This window comes from Homo sapiens, chromosome 2 (assembly GCF_000001405.40).
Source record: "Homo sapiens chromosome 2, GRCh38.p14 Primary Assembly".
NCBI classification, from domain to species: Eukaryota; Metazoa; Chordata; class Mammalia; order Primates; family Hominidae; genus Homo; species Homo sapiens.
The window spans coordinates 196,246,152-196,264,529 of NC_000002.12; the positions used below are offsets into that span (position 1 = coordinate 196,246,152).

The 18,378-nt window shown below is 39.2% G+C and overlaps 1 protein-coding gene and 1 long non-coding RNA gene across 14 annotated transcripts in view, besides 2 other annotated features; one reads left to right on the forward strand and one right to left on the reverse strand.

Moving 5' to 3' along the window:
- The window catches only part of HECW2 (HECT, C2 and WW domain containing E3 ubiquitin protein ligase 2), a 399,483-nt gene that overhangs the window by 52,080 nt on the left and 329,025 nt on the right, over positions 1 to 18,378 (reverse strand). For all 12 annotated transcript variants that reach the window (NM_001348768.2, XM_006712646.4, XM_047445197.1 and 9 more), the window contains 2 exons: positions 11,672 to 11,755; positions 7,769 to 7,878 (listed from right to left, as the gene is read on the reverse strand). In NM_001348768.2, coding sequence (NP_001335697.1) covers positions 7,769 to 7,878; positions 11,672 to 11,755 — 194 coding nt within the window. The remainder of the gene's footprint in view (positions 1 to 7,768; positions 7,879 to 11,671; positions 11,756 to 18,378) is intronic.
- Positions 13,342 to 14,541: an enhancer, noted in NCBI's record as "CDK7 strongly-dependent group 2 enhancer chr2:197124217-197125416 (GRCh37/hg19 assembly coordinates)". NCBI's record gives its function as "activates an origin of replication core promoter dependent on BRD2, BRD4, P300/CBP, MED14 and CDK7 cofactors, with strong dependence on CDK7, by STARR-seq in HCT116 cells {active_cell/tissue: HCT116}" and the evidence as "EXISTENCE:reporter gene assay evidence [ECO:0000049][PMID:35650434]".
- HECW2-AS1 (HECW2 antisense RNA 1) lies at positions 13,873 to 18,053 on the forward strand. Of its 2 annotated transcripts, none has more exons than NR_110226.1 (3): positions 13,873 to 14,089; positions 14,180 to 14,221; positions 16,900 to 18,053. It is a non-coding gene; the product is annotated as an HECW2 antisense RNA 1 (long non-coding RNA). The 2 variants fall into 2 exon arrangements; NR_110225.1 differs by having other exon boundaries at positions 13,873 to 14,010; positions 14,090 to 14,221.
- Positions 17,064 to 17,183: an enhancer, noted in NCBI's record as "active region_16901". NCBI's record gives its function as "activates an Ori minimal core promoter by ATAC-STARR-seq in GM12878 lymphoblastoid cells {active_cell/tissue: GM12878}" and the evidence as "EXISTENCE:reporter gene assay evidence [ECO:0000049][PMID:35858748]".

Here is an 18,378-nt window from a genome sequence, read left to right on the forward strand (position 1 = left end):
CCATGAACACAAGGCTGCTCTCCTAGATGAATGAGGGATAGGACCGTGCAGTTCAAGTCCACTCAAGGGTGGCACAATCAGTGTCAGTGCTCCAGTCTGAGAAACTGCAGACTAGAAAACCCAGACAGGGCAGAACGCAGCTGTAATGAATCAACTTTCAAGAGCAAAATCATTGATAAGAGAGAGAAAAATGAAGAACAAGGAACTGAACGAAAATCTTTTAAGACACAAAAGAAACTTTTTTTTTTTCTTTAGACGGAGTCTCACTCTGTCGCCCAGGCTGGAGTGCAGTGGCACGATCTCGGGCACTGCAAGCTCCACCTCCCGGGTTCATGCCATTCTCCTGCCTCAGCCTCCTGAGTAGCTTGGACTACAGGCGTCTGCCACCACGCCCGGCTAATTATTTTTTTGTATTTTTTTAGTAGAGACGGGGTTTCACCATGTTAGCCAGGATGATCTCGATCTCCTGACCTTGTGATCCACCCCCCTCAGCCTCCCAAAGTGGTGGGATTACAGGCATGAGCCACTGTGCCCTGCCAAGAAACATGTTTTTTTAAGAGCTGATTACTTTAAAAAACAGCACAGACACTAACTACTCCTATATAATTTGAGATGCTTAAAAGGACGTGGGAAATGCCATAATGCATTCCATCAATATCAATACAGACACAATAAAAATTAGCTCTGATTCTGTTTATACTCTAGGTAAAGGGATTTAATTATAAAAACTCTGAGACAGCAATTGTTAAATGCAAAAATTCTTTTGCTCATAGTTCCATCATGAAAGAAGTCATTTACACATTATTTCATTTTAAAATTATAGTAAATTGGCTGGGTACGGTGGCTCACGCCTGTAATCCCATCACTTTGGGAGGCTGAGGTCGGTGGATCATGAGGTCAGGAGATCGAGACCATCCTGGCCAACATGGTGAAACCCCGTCTCTACTAAAAACACAAAAATTAGCTGGGTGTGCTTGTAGTCCCAGCTACTTGGGGGGCTGAGGCAGGAGAATCACTTGAACCCAGGAGGCGGAGGTTGCAGCGAGCCGACATCGCACCACTGCACTCCAGCCTGGCAACAGAGTGAGGCTCTGTCTCAAAATAAATAAATAAATAAATAAAATTACAGTAAATTATGCTGTTGGCCTTTGTCAAATTCTTAATACAAGTGAGGTATAATTGCCAAGAAATTCCAGAGCAGGAATGATGTTACTTCCACTTTGGAAATACAAAATGTTCTTGGAAGATTGCGCTAATAAAATTGTGTGAGAACTACAAGTGAAGTTCTAGGTCATAATACTTTGTAGACAGAGGAATTTTATGGTCTTTACAGTCTTAAAGAAAATCAGGTACAAAAGATCAATGTTACATCAAATGAAGGGCTGACTTCATGGATAGTCAGCATTTTGCTAATACTGTGCAGGAAAAAATTTCAGTAACAGACACTAGGGAGTTTTTGCTTTGTCATTGCTAGGCAGGTCTAAAGAACTTCTATATTGTGTTACCCTATTTTCATATACTGTTACAAAATTGCATAATCATATACAAACTAAAGAATTCTATCTGACAAAATATTTCAGAAGACACTAGAAATAGCTTGGCATCCAACTCCCGGGCAGTCTCAGTCTTTTTTGATTCTGGGTGTGTGACCCAGAACCTGGACTGTTCTGATGACTAGCACTGGTTCTCCGTATTGGACAGGGGCTGGATCTTAGCCTGATCCAGCATGGCTCCATGCCTCTGTCCTGGGACAGCTCAGACGCTCATCTCTTTCCTGGTTCACTTTCAAAAAATCCCTATGACATTTAAAACAAATGCCCTGTGAGTGAATGAAAACAAAACATCAAGCACTACAATAATTTCTGGAAGGCTCCATCTTCTGGAACATAGCTCAACGCTGGAACTTAACAAAAAACACGTCCAAATCCCTGGCACAAAGCACAAGCACTGAAAACCTGGCATTTTTGCTTTATTCTCTGAGTAGTAAAAGGCCCTCGAGTCATTTCTTGGAGCTTGCTGATGTTCATGTACATACCATTTATTGAAAATAACTTAATGCTCTGACTTCTCAAACCTTGACAGAGATCTTGGCAGGGAAGTGATTTATTAAAGGGAAATGTAAAGGGTCTGCCAATAGCAGGCACCCTCTGATAGCTCTATGGGTGAGGACAAGGGAGACTAACAACACAAAAAGTTAAGTCTCTATACTATGAGAGAGACAGTGTCTGTGGCTTTCTTTTGGTCTCTGGGATCACAACTTCCCCATCCCTACCCACCCAGGGAGCATCCTTCATTTGTGCAATTTGGTTCCTAGATCATCTTTGTAGGGCTGAGTCAAGGGAAGGGATCAAACACCTTTTCTAAAAACAACTCTAAAGCTACTTCAGGGACTGTAGGAAAGGTGGGGAAAGGGAGAGGGACAGATGAGAGAGAGAGAGACAGACAGACACACACACACACACACACACACACACACACACAGAGAGAGACAGAGAGGAATAGAGAGGGAGGAAGGAAGAAAAGGAGAGAGAGAATGAGCAGAGAAGAGGAACTGTTTGTGAAAAGAGAAGATGACATAAACAGCTGGTAAAATGCTAAGACTTTGTGGTGGGAGAAAGAAAACGAAGATCATTAAGGGCACACAATGTGGTGGGAGAAATAATTCCCTCTCACAACCCATCCCCTCAAGACAATCTTTAGTAAAGACCCACAGGGCTCTTCTGTGCTCTCTGAGTGTTTTACTTCTGTTGAAGGTGACTTTCTGCTGGTGCTAGTTTCCAGGGAGTCCAGCTCTAGTCAAGTAACAAGAGCTCTGCATCATGATTCATAGGCACAATGATCCCCCCAAACCATGAAATATCCTCAATGTGCAGTGTATAGGAAAGTAAAGAGAAATATAATATATTTATGAAAGAGTTTCAGCAAATAGGGGGTCAAACAAATTCTCATACAGTTAAAATCATAGCTTTGGTTACCTGGAAAATCCACATAAGAGAGCACATCTCCAATAATATCAGATAAATTAGGTGTTATTGCATTTAATTTCCTAGAAATGTGCAGCTTAAATAAACTTCTGGGTCCCATATTTGGCATAATAAGCCACATGGTGTTTGGAAAGATCTTTTCCTTCTGGCATCACTGAGGTTGGGATTGGCATTATAATGGTCCTAGAAAAACAAACCTTCACATTCCAAAATTTTGACAAATTTTGGTGAGCACTCTAACAGCTGCAAAAAGCAGTGAGTCAAAGTTTCCAAAGCCCCTCTCTCTTCTGCACTTGAAAATACATGTCAACGTGCTTGGAATGAGGAAAAGGGGGAAAGTTTACCAGGTTCCTAGGAATTCTCAATGAAGATCATTAAAATTTATTACTGTCATAATTTTCAAGATATTATTCTCACACCACTAAAAGGGGTGAAATTATAGTCACAAGGAGGATCAGACCACTTAAAAAAATCTGTTTGAAATGTTGCTTTCACAAAACCTTCAGGAATCCTGGTAGAAGGAGAAGCTATTTTATTCAAAGGAACAGAAGATTCCTCCAGAGGGGAAATGAGGTTAGGTAGTCCTGCCCTGGTATCATGTGGAATTTGTTATAGTGACTTCCATTGATATCAGGCTGTACAACCCAGTTTCAAGATCAAACAAAGCCCACTGAAACAGAGTAGGCCAGAAATATGGAGATGATTCTTCCTGAAAATTAAAACCACCACAAACACTGCTAGCAATTTAGATATATTTGGGTTACACAGGTCTTTGGAAAATGTTTAACTCTAAATGTAAGTTTCTAGAATGGATTTTATTGTCACCAATGATTACTCATGTGCATTTGCGATGCTAAATGAGGAAGTGAACTCAGCCACATTTAGAGTGCTCATACAGTCTTGAAGAATGTGTGCAGTCTTCAAGTGCATGCCTTTAAAGAGCACGGAAGGGGCAGCATTTGGCAATTTACCTTTTCCTCAGGGAGGAGAGGCCACACAAAAGGCCTGGAAAAGGACAGCCTTGACTGGCACGAGCAACAATCCACATGGCTTCATGTCTTTAACCATAAAACACAGGTAAAGGGATGGTCCACTTTAAACCCCAGCATAGGCTCTTACTAAGATAAAGTCCACTCTGCATGATTAAATATCTAAGCAGACAGCTCTGCAAATCAGGGTTCGTATGTTCCAGTTGTTAATGGTTCAAATGTGAACAAACTACTTCTCAGAATCAAATTTCCAGAAAGAAAGAAAGAAAAAGCGACACATTAACCTTTATTGGCTACTTGTTATGTTCCAAGCACCAAGCAAAGTGTTCTCCAAAAATAATCGTGAGAGGTGAGGTAATTATTGTTATCTCTATTTTATAGAAAAAGAGATTCAGGCTCAGGGAAGGAGGTACCCTGCCTAAAGTCAGACAGTTGCTAAAAGAATGAAATTCCCAGTTGGGAATTTCATGAAGTTTTCCCCTAAACCTTTAAACTTACCTGTAGTGTCATACACTTCTTTCAGCCTGTGTCATCAAAATAGGTGTCCCTATTTTGTTCCAAAGTTGGCCTGTGTTTCTTCCTTCAGTGTCGTGCTGCCCATGAGCCTGCCTTATTCCACAAACCACTTTCCTTCCACTCACGTCCTGTGTCCTCTGCACATGTATGCTCAACTTCCCATCCTAAAATTCCTTCCCTCTCTCTTCTCCTAACTACTGTTCTATTTTGCTTTCTTTTTACCTCCAGATTTCGTGAAAAGAGCATTTGACTTCTGCTTCAGATCCTGTATCATTCTGTCACCAATCATGATCCGGTTTATAACCTATTACTTCACAGAACCTGCTTTGGCAAAGACCATTGATAATGTCATGATTTTCAAATCTAAATGAGGCCTCTTTTCAGATCTCATCCTTCTTGATGCCCTATCCCCCTTTTGAGACAGGGTCTCACTCTGTTGCCCAGGCTGGAGTGCAGTGGCATGATCATGGCTCCCTGCAGGCTTGACCTTCTGAGCCCAAGTAACCCTCCCACCTCAGCCCCCGTGAGTAGCTGGGACTTCCTGAGCCCTTTGAGCATGTGGCTCTATTGACCACTCCTCTGTGAAACCCGGCTCCCCTGAAAAGACTTTCCTAACTCTATTCAAAATCTGTTGGCTCTCTTTCTTTCACTTGCTTCTCTGTCTCAGCTCATCCCTTAAATATTGAGGTTTCTCATGACATCATCCTCTATTTCCTCTCCTTTTCAATGACTTTCTCCCCAGTTGCTTTAGTCTATACTCTAGGTTCCAGTTGCCACCAGTACACTGAACTCCTTGCTTTCAACCTCTCCTGTGCGCCATGGCTGCCATTTCCAGCTGTCTTTGGGAATCTCCCATTGATGGCCCAAAGATTTCTCAATAAAACTTGTCCAACACCAAACTCACTCAATCTTCCAATTTGAGTCTAACCATTTCCCATTCTTGGCAGAGGGTGCTACCATCTGCCTGGTAGCCTAGGTAGTGAGGGCCTTTGAATCTTCCTTGACTCTTCCCTACCTCTACTCAAAGTCCTGATGTCTCTGCATCCTACATATCCCTTCAATTTGTTCCCTGGTCCCCATCTCCACTGCCTAGTCCAGTCTTTCATCATGTTACTCTGGCTAATGCAATGGCCTCTCTGAGAAACTGTCTCTAGTCTCTCATTTTCTAATTTATCCTCCCAATTGCCACCAGACTGATCTTTGAAAAGCAGGATATTATTGGTATTCCTCTGCTTATACATTTTCAGTGGCTTCACATGGACAATAGAATAGGGCTGGCTGGGCGTGGCAACTCACACCTGTAATACCAGCACTTTGGGAGGCCGAGGCAGGCAGATCATTTGAAGTTAGGAGTTTGAGACCAGCCTGGCCAACATGATGAAACCCAGTCTCTACTAAAAATACAAAAATTTGCTGGGCATGGTGGCATGTATCTGTTATCCTAGCTACTGGGGAGGCTGAGGCAGGAGAATTACTTGAACCTGGGAGATCACGCCACTGCACTCCAGCCTGGGCGAAGAAGTGTGACTCCGATTCAAAATAATAATAATAATAATAATAATAATAATAATAATAAGGCTTCAATGACCAACCAGCCCTAGCCTACCTTTCCAACCTGAGCTTTGAGAACTTCCCTTCCCTTGTATCTATTAACTTACTTGTATCTATTTCCTACACTACTTTCATGCTTCTGTGGCTTAGCTTATGCTACCTGATATGGTTTTTTTGGATGTTTGTTCCCTCTAAATCTCATGTTTAAATATAATCCCCAGTGTCAGAGGTAGGGCCTTGTGGGGGGTGTTTGGATCATAAGTGCAGATCCCTCATGAATGGTTTCGCACCACTCCCTTGGTGATGAGTGACCTCACAGGAGATCTGATTGTTTAAAGGTGTGTGGTACCTCCCCCCTGCTCTCTCTGGCTCCCACTCTCACCATGTGACATGCTGGCTCTCCATCACCTTCTGACATGAGTAGAAGTTTCCTGAGGCCCTCAACAGAAGCCAAGCAAATGCTGGTACCATGATTGTACAGTCTGCAAAACCATAAGCCAGTGAAACCTTTCTTTATAAATTACCCAGCCTCAGGTTTTCTTTATAGTTACACAAGAATGGCCTAACACATCACTCCCTTCACTAGAATGTCCTTCTTTCTTTGGTCCACCTGGTAAACTCCTATTCATCATTCTTCAAGGTTCCACTTCATATTTCCCCAAATACCCCATCCCCAGCCCTGAAAGAATAATTGTTCCCACAGCTGTGTTCTCATACATTTCTTCATTACAGAACTAACTACAGAGCTTCACAGAGTTATTTGTTGACTCACTGCCACACCATGAATTCTTCAAAGGAAGAAACTGTATTATTCATCTCTGTAGTCCTAGAGTCTAATTCAGTGCTTGGATCATAGTTGGATGCTCCATAAATCTGTGTTAAATGAACATATTAATACATCTTTTCCTGTTTGCAGTATCCAATTAGGCTGCATCTTCATTATCATTGCAGTATGTGAAAACACATGTTATATACCAAAGAACATACAGCAGCTTAGTGACACATATGGAGTTTGCACTTCTACTGAAATCATTTTCAGTTCTGACAGCTGTTAAAGTGTGAACAATGCACTGCCTATAATAAGGACCTATATACATCTGCTATTCTGTCAACATCATGACTGCCTTCATTTTCAAAGCTCATTTGCCAAGCTGCATTTCCTACCATTTGCTCATCCACCCATTCATCCACCCACTCACTCTTTCATTCAGGCCTATCTCTTTCAAAAAGAGATTGAATGTACACATTTCAGGTTACCTATCAACATCTTCTATCTGCCAATCCATTTCTGTTCTATCTAATGCAATTAATGAATTGCAGGAATGTCCAAGTCCATTAAACTGAACAATTTCAATTCCATATTATTTCTTGAGAGTAGAGACTTTATCTTCATTGTATATCAAAAAAGTTCTCTTCACTAGAACTTTCTAAAGTCAAAAAGCAACCTAATATTTTGTGTCCTGATATTGTATGATATAACATCATGAAAAGTAAATTCTATATCTGAGTATGTCATACCACTAATCCTCCTATTCATTATGTTTGTCAAAATGAATCCTCATGGAAATAAGCCACTCTTACGAGACAGGAAATGCACACGTGTATCTGTGCTAACACCAAAGATGTACCTGAAGTGTTCCCTTACTGTTCTGTCTTTAGGGAGGATAGAACATCTGGCTTGAAGGTTCACTCCTCAGAGAATTCACTGTGAGCAGCAGGTGGACTCACCTGGCGAGTTCTGAGGAGATGACACGGGAGAGCCACGTGGGGACTGACAGTAGCTGGGGTGGAGTAAGGCATGTGGAGGCACATACGACATTATCTCTTCTTCAAATAAGCTGGGGAAAGACAAGAAACAAAACGGGCACTTCAGCCAAAGTAGTGGGGAAAAGCCTAAATCCCAAAGGAGTAGAATATTCCATCCAAGATCCGGTTTATATCCCAAAGAGAGCATCCGCCCCCTTTCTCTTGCAGGTAATTCTTGGTACAAAATGGCTGGCTGTGGTGCTTTTTGTGAACCCTGTGGCTATTTCCCTGTTTTCCTACCAACTTTGGACAACGTGACTTTATTTTACTATTTCAACATATGAGTTTGAGTGTACATGTTTGTTTGAAAATCATACCTGGGTTTTCAGATTTGGAAACAGGATTCCAACACAAAATAGAAAATGTTTATTGAGAACCCATCATAAATATACAAAGTATGTTCTATATCCTCATTCCAAGAAATAAACAATAGGGTCTCAGCCTTCGAAGGGCTTAGGATTTAATTTGATAATTAAAAGCAAAATAAAACAAAACACCTCTTAAATAACTACAATCACAAAATAATTAGCTCCCTTGTTTACCCTGGCTACTATTTTTCACATGTGAGGATTTGGATCTTAGACCATTTAATGTCTTCTTTCTTCTCCATACTGAAATGTCTGTTTCTGATATTCTCCTAAAAGAGAGTAACCAGAGACCTGAGCTCTTTTCAGCTGTACAAGACAGTGTCAGTTTGTACTCCAATAAGACTGTAGAAACTGCAATGCCACTAAGCCCAGACAATATGAGAGTTCTTATGTATCATTAGGTATTCAGACTTTTGGACTCTTACAAATCTAATACTGTGAAATGGTATCTCATTATTTGAAACTACACTTACATTACTAGCATCTTTCCATGGGTTTATTGGCTATTCATACTTCCATTTCTATGCCTTTTCATAACCTTTATCCATTTTTCTATTGGGTTCTCTTCTTTTAAAGGCCTTCTTTATGTATCCACAATCTGGTTTCCTTTTTTTTTTTTTTTTTCTGAGACAGAGTCTAGCTCTGTTGCATGGCTGGAGCGCAGTGGCACAATGTTGGCTCACTGCAACCTCTGCTTCCTGGGTTCAAGTGATTCTCCTGCCTCAGCCTCTTGAGTAGCTGGGACTACAGGTGCGAGTCACCACGTTCAGCTAATTTTTCTATTTTTTTTTTTTTTTTTTTTTTTAGTAGAGATGGGGTTTCACCATGTTGGCCAGGTTGGTCTCGATCTCCTGACCTCATCATGATCCGCCTGCCTCGGCATCCCAAAGTGCTGGGATTACAGGCGTGAGCCACTGCGCCTGGCTGATCTCTTTGTTTTACATGTTGTAAATCTATTCTTCCAGTTGATTATCTTTCTTTATGCCTTTATATGTGGTATCTTTCATTATATCCATTTAAAAATATTTATGTAGCCAAATTTATCAATCATTTCTTGTATGAGCTCTGATAGAGGTATATTTTTTACATGAATTGAGTTAGTGAAAAGATACATGAAACACAAAAATCAATAACAAATTAAACAAGGTCATTTAAAAATTATTGGGTTTTAAAATAGCCCTATTGGAAAATAACTTTACATGCGTTTATTCTGAATTGAATAATGTCCTAGAGCAACACTATCTCTACATTGCAGCTTACTGATAAGTCAATTTGTACCAGGAGTGATTTTTCCTTTTTAAGAAATCAGACAAAACATTAAAATAGACACAAAGGCTTCCATTATGTAAGTGACAAGTATGCTGACTGAAGTTTGTAGTCACCAATTCAAATCATTCCAATTCCAAAGTGAAATAAAAAATAAAGGGCTGAGCGCTGTGGCTCACACCTGTAATCCTAGCACTTTGGGAGGCCGAGGAGGGCGGATTGCCTGAGCTCAGGAGTTCTTGTCCAGCCTGGGCAACACGGTGAAACCCCGTCTCTATTAAAATACAAAAAATTAGCCGGGCGTGGTGGCTTGCACCTGTACTCCCAGCTACTCAGGAGGCTGAGGCAGGAGAATTACTTGAACTCAGAGGGTGGAGGTTGCAATGAGATGAGATCTCACCACTGCACTCCAGCCTGGGCAACAGAGCGAGACTGCACCTCAAAAATAAATAAATAAATAATTGAGGACATGAATAAAACCCCAAATTTTTCAATAATCACTAATTATATTACTTATTAAGCATGTACATATAATACATTGTGTTGTTTACTATTATTAAAATAATAAACACATGTGATCACCCACATGAAAAGCCTAGAATTTAATGACATCATTTGTATACAATAATTATAGAACTATTATATGTAAGAAAATTTCTCACACTTCTCCAAAGGCCCATTAGCTTTACAGAACCTGCTTATTTTCCCAAAGAGGAGAAAATGCAGCCTTGCTCTTTATGTATGAATGAGTTCTGAATTATTTGAATTCAAATACATTTGAATTCTACTACTTAACACATAGAAACTCATGCAAACTGTTGTGTTATCAAAGTACAAATATTATAAGCTATAGTAAAATAAATTTAAGACTATACCATCTAAATATTATTTAACTATGGATAGGTGAATGATAATTATGACTTCTGTTTTTACTAATTCCCAAAGCAGAATTCTTAGTTTAAAAGAAAAAAACCTTAGCTTTCTATAGTGAAGAAAAAGAGCATATCCTGGCCAGAATTCTGTTAACAGAAACTTCAACTATTTTATCACCAACCAAACCATGATAGAAACATCACACTCTAACGTTAATTGACCAGTAGTCTTCCTGACCACCTAGCATACTATATGCTGGTTTCACAACTGGCTCAATACCACAGGAGAGAGGCCACCCATTAGGTTGAGAAGCTACCCCCACCATAGGTCCTATTCAGAGTCAACTGAAGTGAAGTATCTATAGAAAGTGAATATATCCCTTTGAGTTATGCTTTGACTACACACAAAGAAAAATAATTTTCTGACAACAATCACATGGGAGGTCAGAAATATGGCAACAAATATGGCAACTATGGAATGGAGAATTAGAAATGGTCAGGGTCAAGATCATCATGAATACTTGAATGAGGTTATTAGCACTCAGGGATAAACAAAACCTTGCCTGAAAGGCTCAGTATGCTGTTCCTTTTAATTCTCTGGAGGTTACAGGGATGAGCGTCCCAACCACTGGGTAGAGCAAAGCATTATTTTACTATGGCTTGCCTACATTTGAGGGATAATAAAAAAATGAGAAAGTCTTTTGAAAACTTGCCAGTTTCCTTTCTAAACTACTCTAAAATTTAAAACCAAAGCTGATTTAACCATTGGAGGGTGAGGGGCGGGGGTGAAAATAATTGGTCAGTTTTATGAAGGGCTATCAAGTTGGCAATGAGTAGCATAGACCAAATGTCAACTTTCTGATCTGATTTCCCAAACGTACACCCTCAAAACCACAAGGTAAATAAATAATGCCTTGAGTCAGCAAAAGGGGACAAAACATATTTTGAGAAAAACATTTGAAAGAATATTAAACTGAAAGGGTAAACACTGAGGGGTAAACGGTGGATGCCTTGTTCAGATACCCTTCTGTTCCATTCTGTGAGTGGGAGATTCTATTCATTACAACCTTTCCCTTTTCCAATACCATCTCCCTTGCCAGCAGGGTGAAAACAAAATTAAACAGATCTCAGTGTAACAAATGGCAACGTGAAGTGAATGATCACTCAATCAGCACCCTAAATCTTCAAAATATTTCCACAAGTCTAAAGAATAAGAACAATTTTTAGGCTATGAATATTGGCATATTATTTTCTACAATGTTCCATGATATCTGATGACAAGAGACCTTCTGCTTCAAGAGTGAGTGTTACGTATGTACCTCAGCAACATAACAAGGTCTGCATCGCTTGAAAGGCGCACCAATCCTGGAGTCCCTTCAGTTCGGATAAATTGGATCTTCTCCCTAATCAAGAAAAGAAACAGCACAAAATGTATATGGTAGACCTTTAGGCTATAACTCAGTAGTAAAGAGCATTTTTTATAATAGTCATGATGTTTTTTGGTACCTATTATGTGGCAGCTACTGTGTAATACCCTAGGAATACACATCCAAGAGAGACATGGTCTTTGCCTTCAAGGGGGGGGATCTTGTAAGCATCAACACCTCCCAGTTCTAATGTTGTGGGGAGAAAGATTCTTTCACTGGCTTCATCATTTTGCTGCCCAAGTACTATAAATAGTATACTATTCAACCAATAAAATCAGTGTCTGCTTTGAGTTAAAGCTGACTGTGGGCCTGAATTTTAGCGATATAGTCTTACGCTGATGCCCTGCTGTTCCAAAAAGGGATTGTGTTGGGAGAGTCATCTATTTTCCTGAGGCCATACCTTTAAGTTGCATGTGATGAGCTCATTCCTAATTGGAAGCAGATAGTATCTATGCATTATATATTCAGTGTAAAAGCATATGTATATATTCAGTGTAAAAGCATATGCCTTTTTTAAATAAAGAAAAAACTGAAATACTTTGCTACAACAGTTGGTGAAATAGATTGTGTGCATACCTGTGCAAATGTATATATACATATACATATCAAACACAAGGTGAGTTATTTCTACCATTATTTTGTTATAGGTAAATGTGATACCAGCTTTTTTCTTTTTTGTTTGATGAGTCATCATCATGTCACTATTTTCAATTTGTTATATGAATACAATTTTAATAATTTTTTTCCTAGTTGCTTTCTTCCCTTATTTACATCATGCTATTTCAAAGCACACCATATTAACTTTTATAAGATGAAGAAAAATATAAAAACACAAATTATGGTACTAAAATCATTCTATTTCATTGGAATATACAGGATAATGCAAATATGCAATTTTATTCTGAGTGCTATGGACAATATATTCTGATTCCTATACCATAAAGTAAAATACCAATCACTGATACAAGTATTTATTTAGATTTAGTTCTTATCTACAAGCAACTTGTTTTTCTACTTGATATTTTCACAAAGTTCCACTGATTTTTTTGTTTGTTTGTTTTGAGACAGGGCCTTACTCTGTCGTCCAGGCCAGAGTGCTGTGGCATGATCTTGGCTCACTGCAACCTCTGCCTCCTGGGTTCAAATGATTCTCCTGCCTCAGACATTTGAGTAGCTGGGATTATAGGCATGTGTCACCACGCCCAGCTAATTTTTGTACTTTTGGTGGAGATGGGGTTTTGCCATGTTCGCCATGCTGGTCTCAAACTCCTGGCCTCATGTGAGCTGCCTGCCTTGGCCTCTCAAATGCTGGGATTATAGGCGTAAGCCACCATGCCTGGCCAAGTTGCACTGATTTTTATATTCCCAAATTTGAAATATTTTTCTTAAGATTGCTTGCTGACTTGAAGGCACTGAGGTGGAAGGCAAGGTTTCATGTTCACATGAAAAATTCCCTAATGCATAGAAAAGTCAATGGATTTGCCCTTAGCCACACAGCTTATGAGGTATGACAAACAGAGTTCAGTCCTTGGTTTCTTCTGGCTAGATCCATTTTATATGATAGATGAAGCAGCTAATCTTTAGTATTTGCCAAACTTTCCTTTCTGTACTTTATTGCCAGCAGCTAACTACTATTTTTTTTTTAAAGACTATTAGAAATTAGTGGTAGGCATGTACGTAAAGGAGTTGCTCAGAAGGCCAGCCTCTCTCTGCTTAAGGTTATTTCAGTGAAGGCTTGAACCAGGCAGAACATTTTCCCTCAAGTTTTGGAATCATACATCTGAAACACGTGATGGAAACCCAGGCCCATTATCTGGTGAATGGTTTTTCTGATAAGAGATGTAAATGTTGGCTGATAAAAGCTAAATCAGAGGAAAGTTATCTTGAAGAAAAATGAATAATAACTTAACCAAAGAACTACTCTTATAAGGGTCAGTAACACCATGCTTTGATCTTGAAGAATCAAAAGCTATCTCCCACAAATATGCAGCTTATCTCTTTTGTCTATCAACACAGTGAATCCAGGCAAACAGAACAAGACAAAAAACAAACAGGCTGAGCACTCTCCCCTCCTTCCTTAACTGGAGCTACACAGAAGGAGTTGAGTGATGGTAGATATCAGGCCCTGGTCTGCGGCTTGGAAGTTTCCTGTGAATAAGAAAAACATCATCGCTTCTTGAGTCACAAGGATGATAGGATGAGAAAAAGAAAGGACAAAGGCACCAGAGGAGGTATGCCAAATGGGAAACTTTTCATCACTTTCCAGATAAAAACTAGCAGTCTGTGAAGGCAACTGGTCTGATTTTTCAGGTAAGAACATATGAGAGGCAGGCTGAGACCAATTTTCTACCAGGCCAGCTAATTCATCACAATGACAAGCTATGGGTCATATGCTTTCAGGAACCAGACACTGGAACATGTCGTCTGATGTACATCACACCAGTAAGTACTTTCTTATGTTGATATTGAGTCATTCTTTCAGTGAACATTTTCTGCGTGCCTATTGTGTGCCAGTCATGGTACCACACGCTGGGAATCCAATGGGGAGTAAGAGAAAGTCCCTTTTCAAGGAGCTTACAGTGCAGTGGAAGAGAGAAAGTTAAAAGGTAATTCTCATTTGATGTGAAAATATTTAAATTCTTCTGTTCACTTAATTGAAGCGTGGTTAGGCTTTATACCTTCTCCCGGTCTAAACAGTTCTTTATAAAGTCCTTTCACGTAGAAACAAAGAAGGCATTAGTTTACTGCCTGTAAAGAGAGCAGATCAAGGCTGAGGAACAGACAGAAGTCAGCAGACGTCCTGGAAATGTCACCAATCTTTTCTGAGAAAAACAAAGGAACCACTTCTTGGTTACCAGGTATTTGCCCAATATGCTATAGACCAGTGATTCTCAAACTGGCATCCTTGGTCTACTAGAAATTTGCATACATAAGCTCAAGCTCTGCAAGAATTTTTAAATTTTGTGTCTTCACTTCGATGATCAAAGCACATGAAACAATATAATAATATTTTAGATGAGATGGATGACATTTATGACTGAATCTTGCCATATGACTTCGGGTCCCATGTTTGTATTTATAGGGCACTTGGTGCAAAGTGATCAGAGGTGAGCTTTTAAAGGGACGGCGAACACACCTGGCTGCCCTTAGGCTGTCAGGGCCTTGATGTTCAATATGATAATAACACCAGTCCCCATCTGCCACTTACGCACACTTCGCTTAGCAATTAAAAAAACCTTTTCTCTTACAGTATTAACTTGCATCATGAAAATGATCAAGTGGGGTTAAGTAATGTATATGTAAATTACCACAGGCTAAAGAGAAAATAAAAGAGATGGATTTAAAAAGAAAATTATGCATTCATGCTAAATAATGCATAAAAGATATCCTGGCTTATTCTAAGAACAAAAGCTCTGCAATAGTTTGCAAATAGAAAAGTGGTGGTAGAATCCACTCATCCCAAGGCACATTCAATGATATGTTTTATCCTTCAGTATTGTATTTCAGGTTACACTATTAAATGAATTGGCTTATCAAACCAATGAATCAGTAGATAAAAATAAGCTTTTTGTTAAGAAGGAAAAATGATGACTGATAATTCCAAGGAGGCACATGCTAGGCCAGAGATGCAAAAAATCAAAAGAATCAAGTCAAACACAAGCACAGAAAGGTGCAAATGTGTCTTTCCACCAATAATGGTCTCAACATTGGTGATTTGGCTTCTGAAAAACAAAGTATCCTCATATTAATAGCATTAATTCAAATGTTATTGATTTTTTCTAGTTTTTAACTTAATTTGTATGTCTTTTGGTTTTGTAGTTTATAAAAGCTGTAAGCATAAGAGGTTTATACATATTTTATATTTGTACACATTTAAGTTTAAAATAAAAGTGACTAACGTCAACATTATAGGTCCGCAATATTTCTTTTTCCTTTTAGAGTGGAAAAATAACAGATGTGACTCTTACAAATTTTCATGAGTCCACCCAGCGTTTGGAATAACATAACAAGTTTGAGAAATGTTGTTAAAGACAACTGATCATGATTAGAGGAATGTTTGAAAATTACTTTAATATATTTATTCAAGTTTATAATGTATACAGTTAGAAGGAATCTGTGGCAGTCCTCTCTGTTGCCCAGTCTAGAGTGCAGTGGTACAATCATAGCTCACTATAGCTTCAAACTCCTGGGCTCAGGTGATCCTCTTGCCTCAGTCTCCTGAGTAGGTGGGACTACAGGTATGTACCACCACACCCAGCTAATTTTTAAACATTTTTGTAGAGACAGGGTCTTGCTATGTTGTCTGGGCTGGTCTTGAACTCCTGGCCTCAAGTGATCCTCCTGCCTCAGCCTCCCAAACTACTAGGATTATAGGAGTGAGCTACTTACTGCATCAGCCTGGCTTCTTCTTAACAAAGAAATTCAATTCAACCTCAGTGGTAATATAATGAAGATTAAGGTTATACTAATACAAAGTATTATCATTTGGCTCTCTCTACATGGGTACGTTTATCTCTCTGTGCCCCTTAGAGTACATTCTAGCACTTTTATGGGTACACCTTCTGATTTGGCTAGTGAGGTACAACTTAAATTCCTTTTGAAACATAAGTTTCTTCAGGGCAAAAGCCCTTGCTCCTTTATCTTTTTTTTTTTGAGATGGAGTCTCACTGTGTCACCCAGGCTGGAGTGAAGAGACCCAATCTCGACTCACTGCAACCTCTGCCTCCCGGGTTCAAGTGATTCTCCTGCCTCAGCCTCCAGTGTAGTTAGGATTACAGGAATGCGCCACCATGTCTGGCTAATTTTTGTATTTTTAGCGGAAATAGGGTTTCATATGTTGGCCAGGTGAACTCCTGACCTCAAGTGATCCACCCACCTCGGCCTCCCAAAGTAGCTGGGATTACAGGCACGAGCTATGGTGCTCAGCCCGTCCTCCTTTATCTTTGTGTTCCCCAAGTACAAAACACTTTTCTGTCTACCTGATAAGTGCTTAGTAAAATACAAAGCAGGGACATGATTAATTTAGGCCAAAATAACGTATGTGGCTCCTAACAATTTCCACCCGGTGTTTGGAATAAACAATCTTGCTATCTTTTTTTTTTCTTTTTTTCCTGTGGCAGAGAAATAAAAAAAGAATTGGAAAGCCAATGTCCAATTATTTACTAAAACAGAATCCACTGGAGAGAAATGCAAAGGCAGGTAAAAAGGCAATCTCTTAACATGAAAACTCACAACTGTAAAATGAGAACCTAAACTATACAGCGACAAACTCAGGAAAAAGTCTCCAGCTACTGCTGTCTCTCAGACTCTCACAGTATGTGTAACCACTTCCTCCTCTGCACGGAATCACCCCAGAAGATCAACTCTACTAGATCATTTGAGGACAATGAACAAAGTCTCAAGACTGAATTCCCACAGAAAACATTCTCATGAAACCACCCAATATTCTGGTGAAGTTAAAGAAGGGCATGTGTTCGGAGACAACCAGAAGCAGCAATGCTCAAAACCACAAAACTCTGGATTGCCGACTCTGCACATCCTGGTTCCTCTAGATACAGTTCAGTGGCACATTCACAAATAAACGTTTTCAAAAACTGCCCTCAGGCAGTTCTAGAGAAATGCTTTGACTTGCCTAATGGTATAATGTCAAGAAAGGAAGACGAGCACTGATCATTCATACTCATTATTACAGTCACAGGGCACTGTCTGACTTGACAGATACAGCCGAGCAGTTAAAAGGTTATGGGAATTTAAGTCCATTATGGTCATACGATTCTTATGGACCCAGAGATATGAAATTAATCAGCCACATGTGTAGGGACAAAGTTTGTCATAAATAGATATAAGTTATCTGCATGCTAAGAACTTAGTTACTTAACTCTGTTTCCTCATGTTAATATAAACATAATTATAGAATGCAAATGAAATACTTAGCCTGGAGCCTATTATATAGGAAGCACTCAATAATTTCAAACTATTGAGTATATTATTAGATAGGCTCCATAATTATTTATTCCTTTTTCAACAGACAGTATGATCTATTGAAAATAAAGCCAAACTAGATTTCTTTGACCCACTCCTTTTTCTGTTTGTATTGTTGGCAAGTTGTTCTAAATCAACTTGCCAACATACTATTAACATGTTATTAACATAGAAGGGATGCTTATTTTGTTTGCTTTGTAAGAAATGCTTCTGATTCAGTAACTGGGCAATTTATTTAAATATAAGTAAAAAGCAGATTTTATTAAAAACTACTTTGTGCTATCATAAATAACTCATTGTTCTCTGTGATTCAGAAGTGGATTTATTATTCTTTTGGGGTTGGGGAAGGCACTGAGACTGGTTTCAGCACTGATATTTTGCTTTGGTCCACAGACAGTCCAAGTCTAATGAGTTACTAAAGGAAAATGACATTTTACTGAACTGTTTTCTTCATAAATATAACAGAATGTAGGAAAAATCAACAGTAAAACAGATGTACCTAAAATATTATTATTCCTCATGTAAGAAAACCATCTTGAAAATCATGATTGAACCACTTATTAGCAAAAAAACACAATACTTTGGAGAAATATCCAGTGGATGAATGCATGTATAAT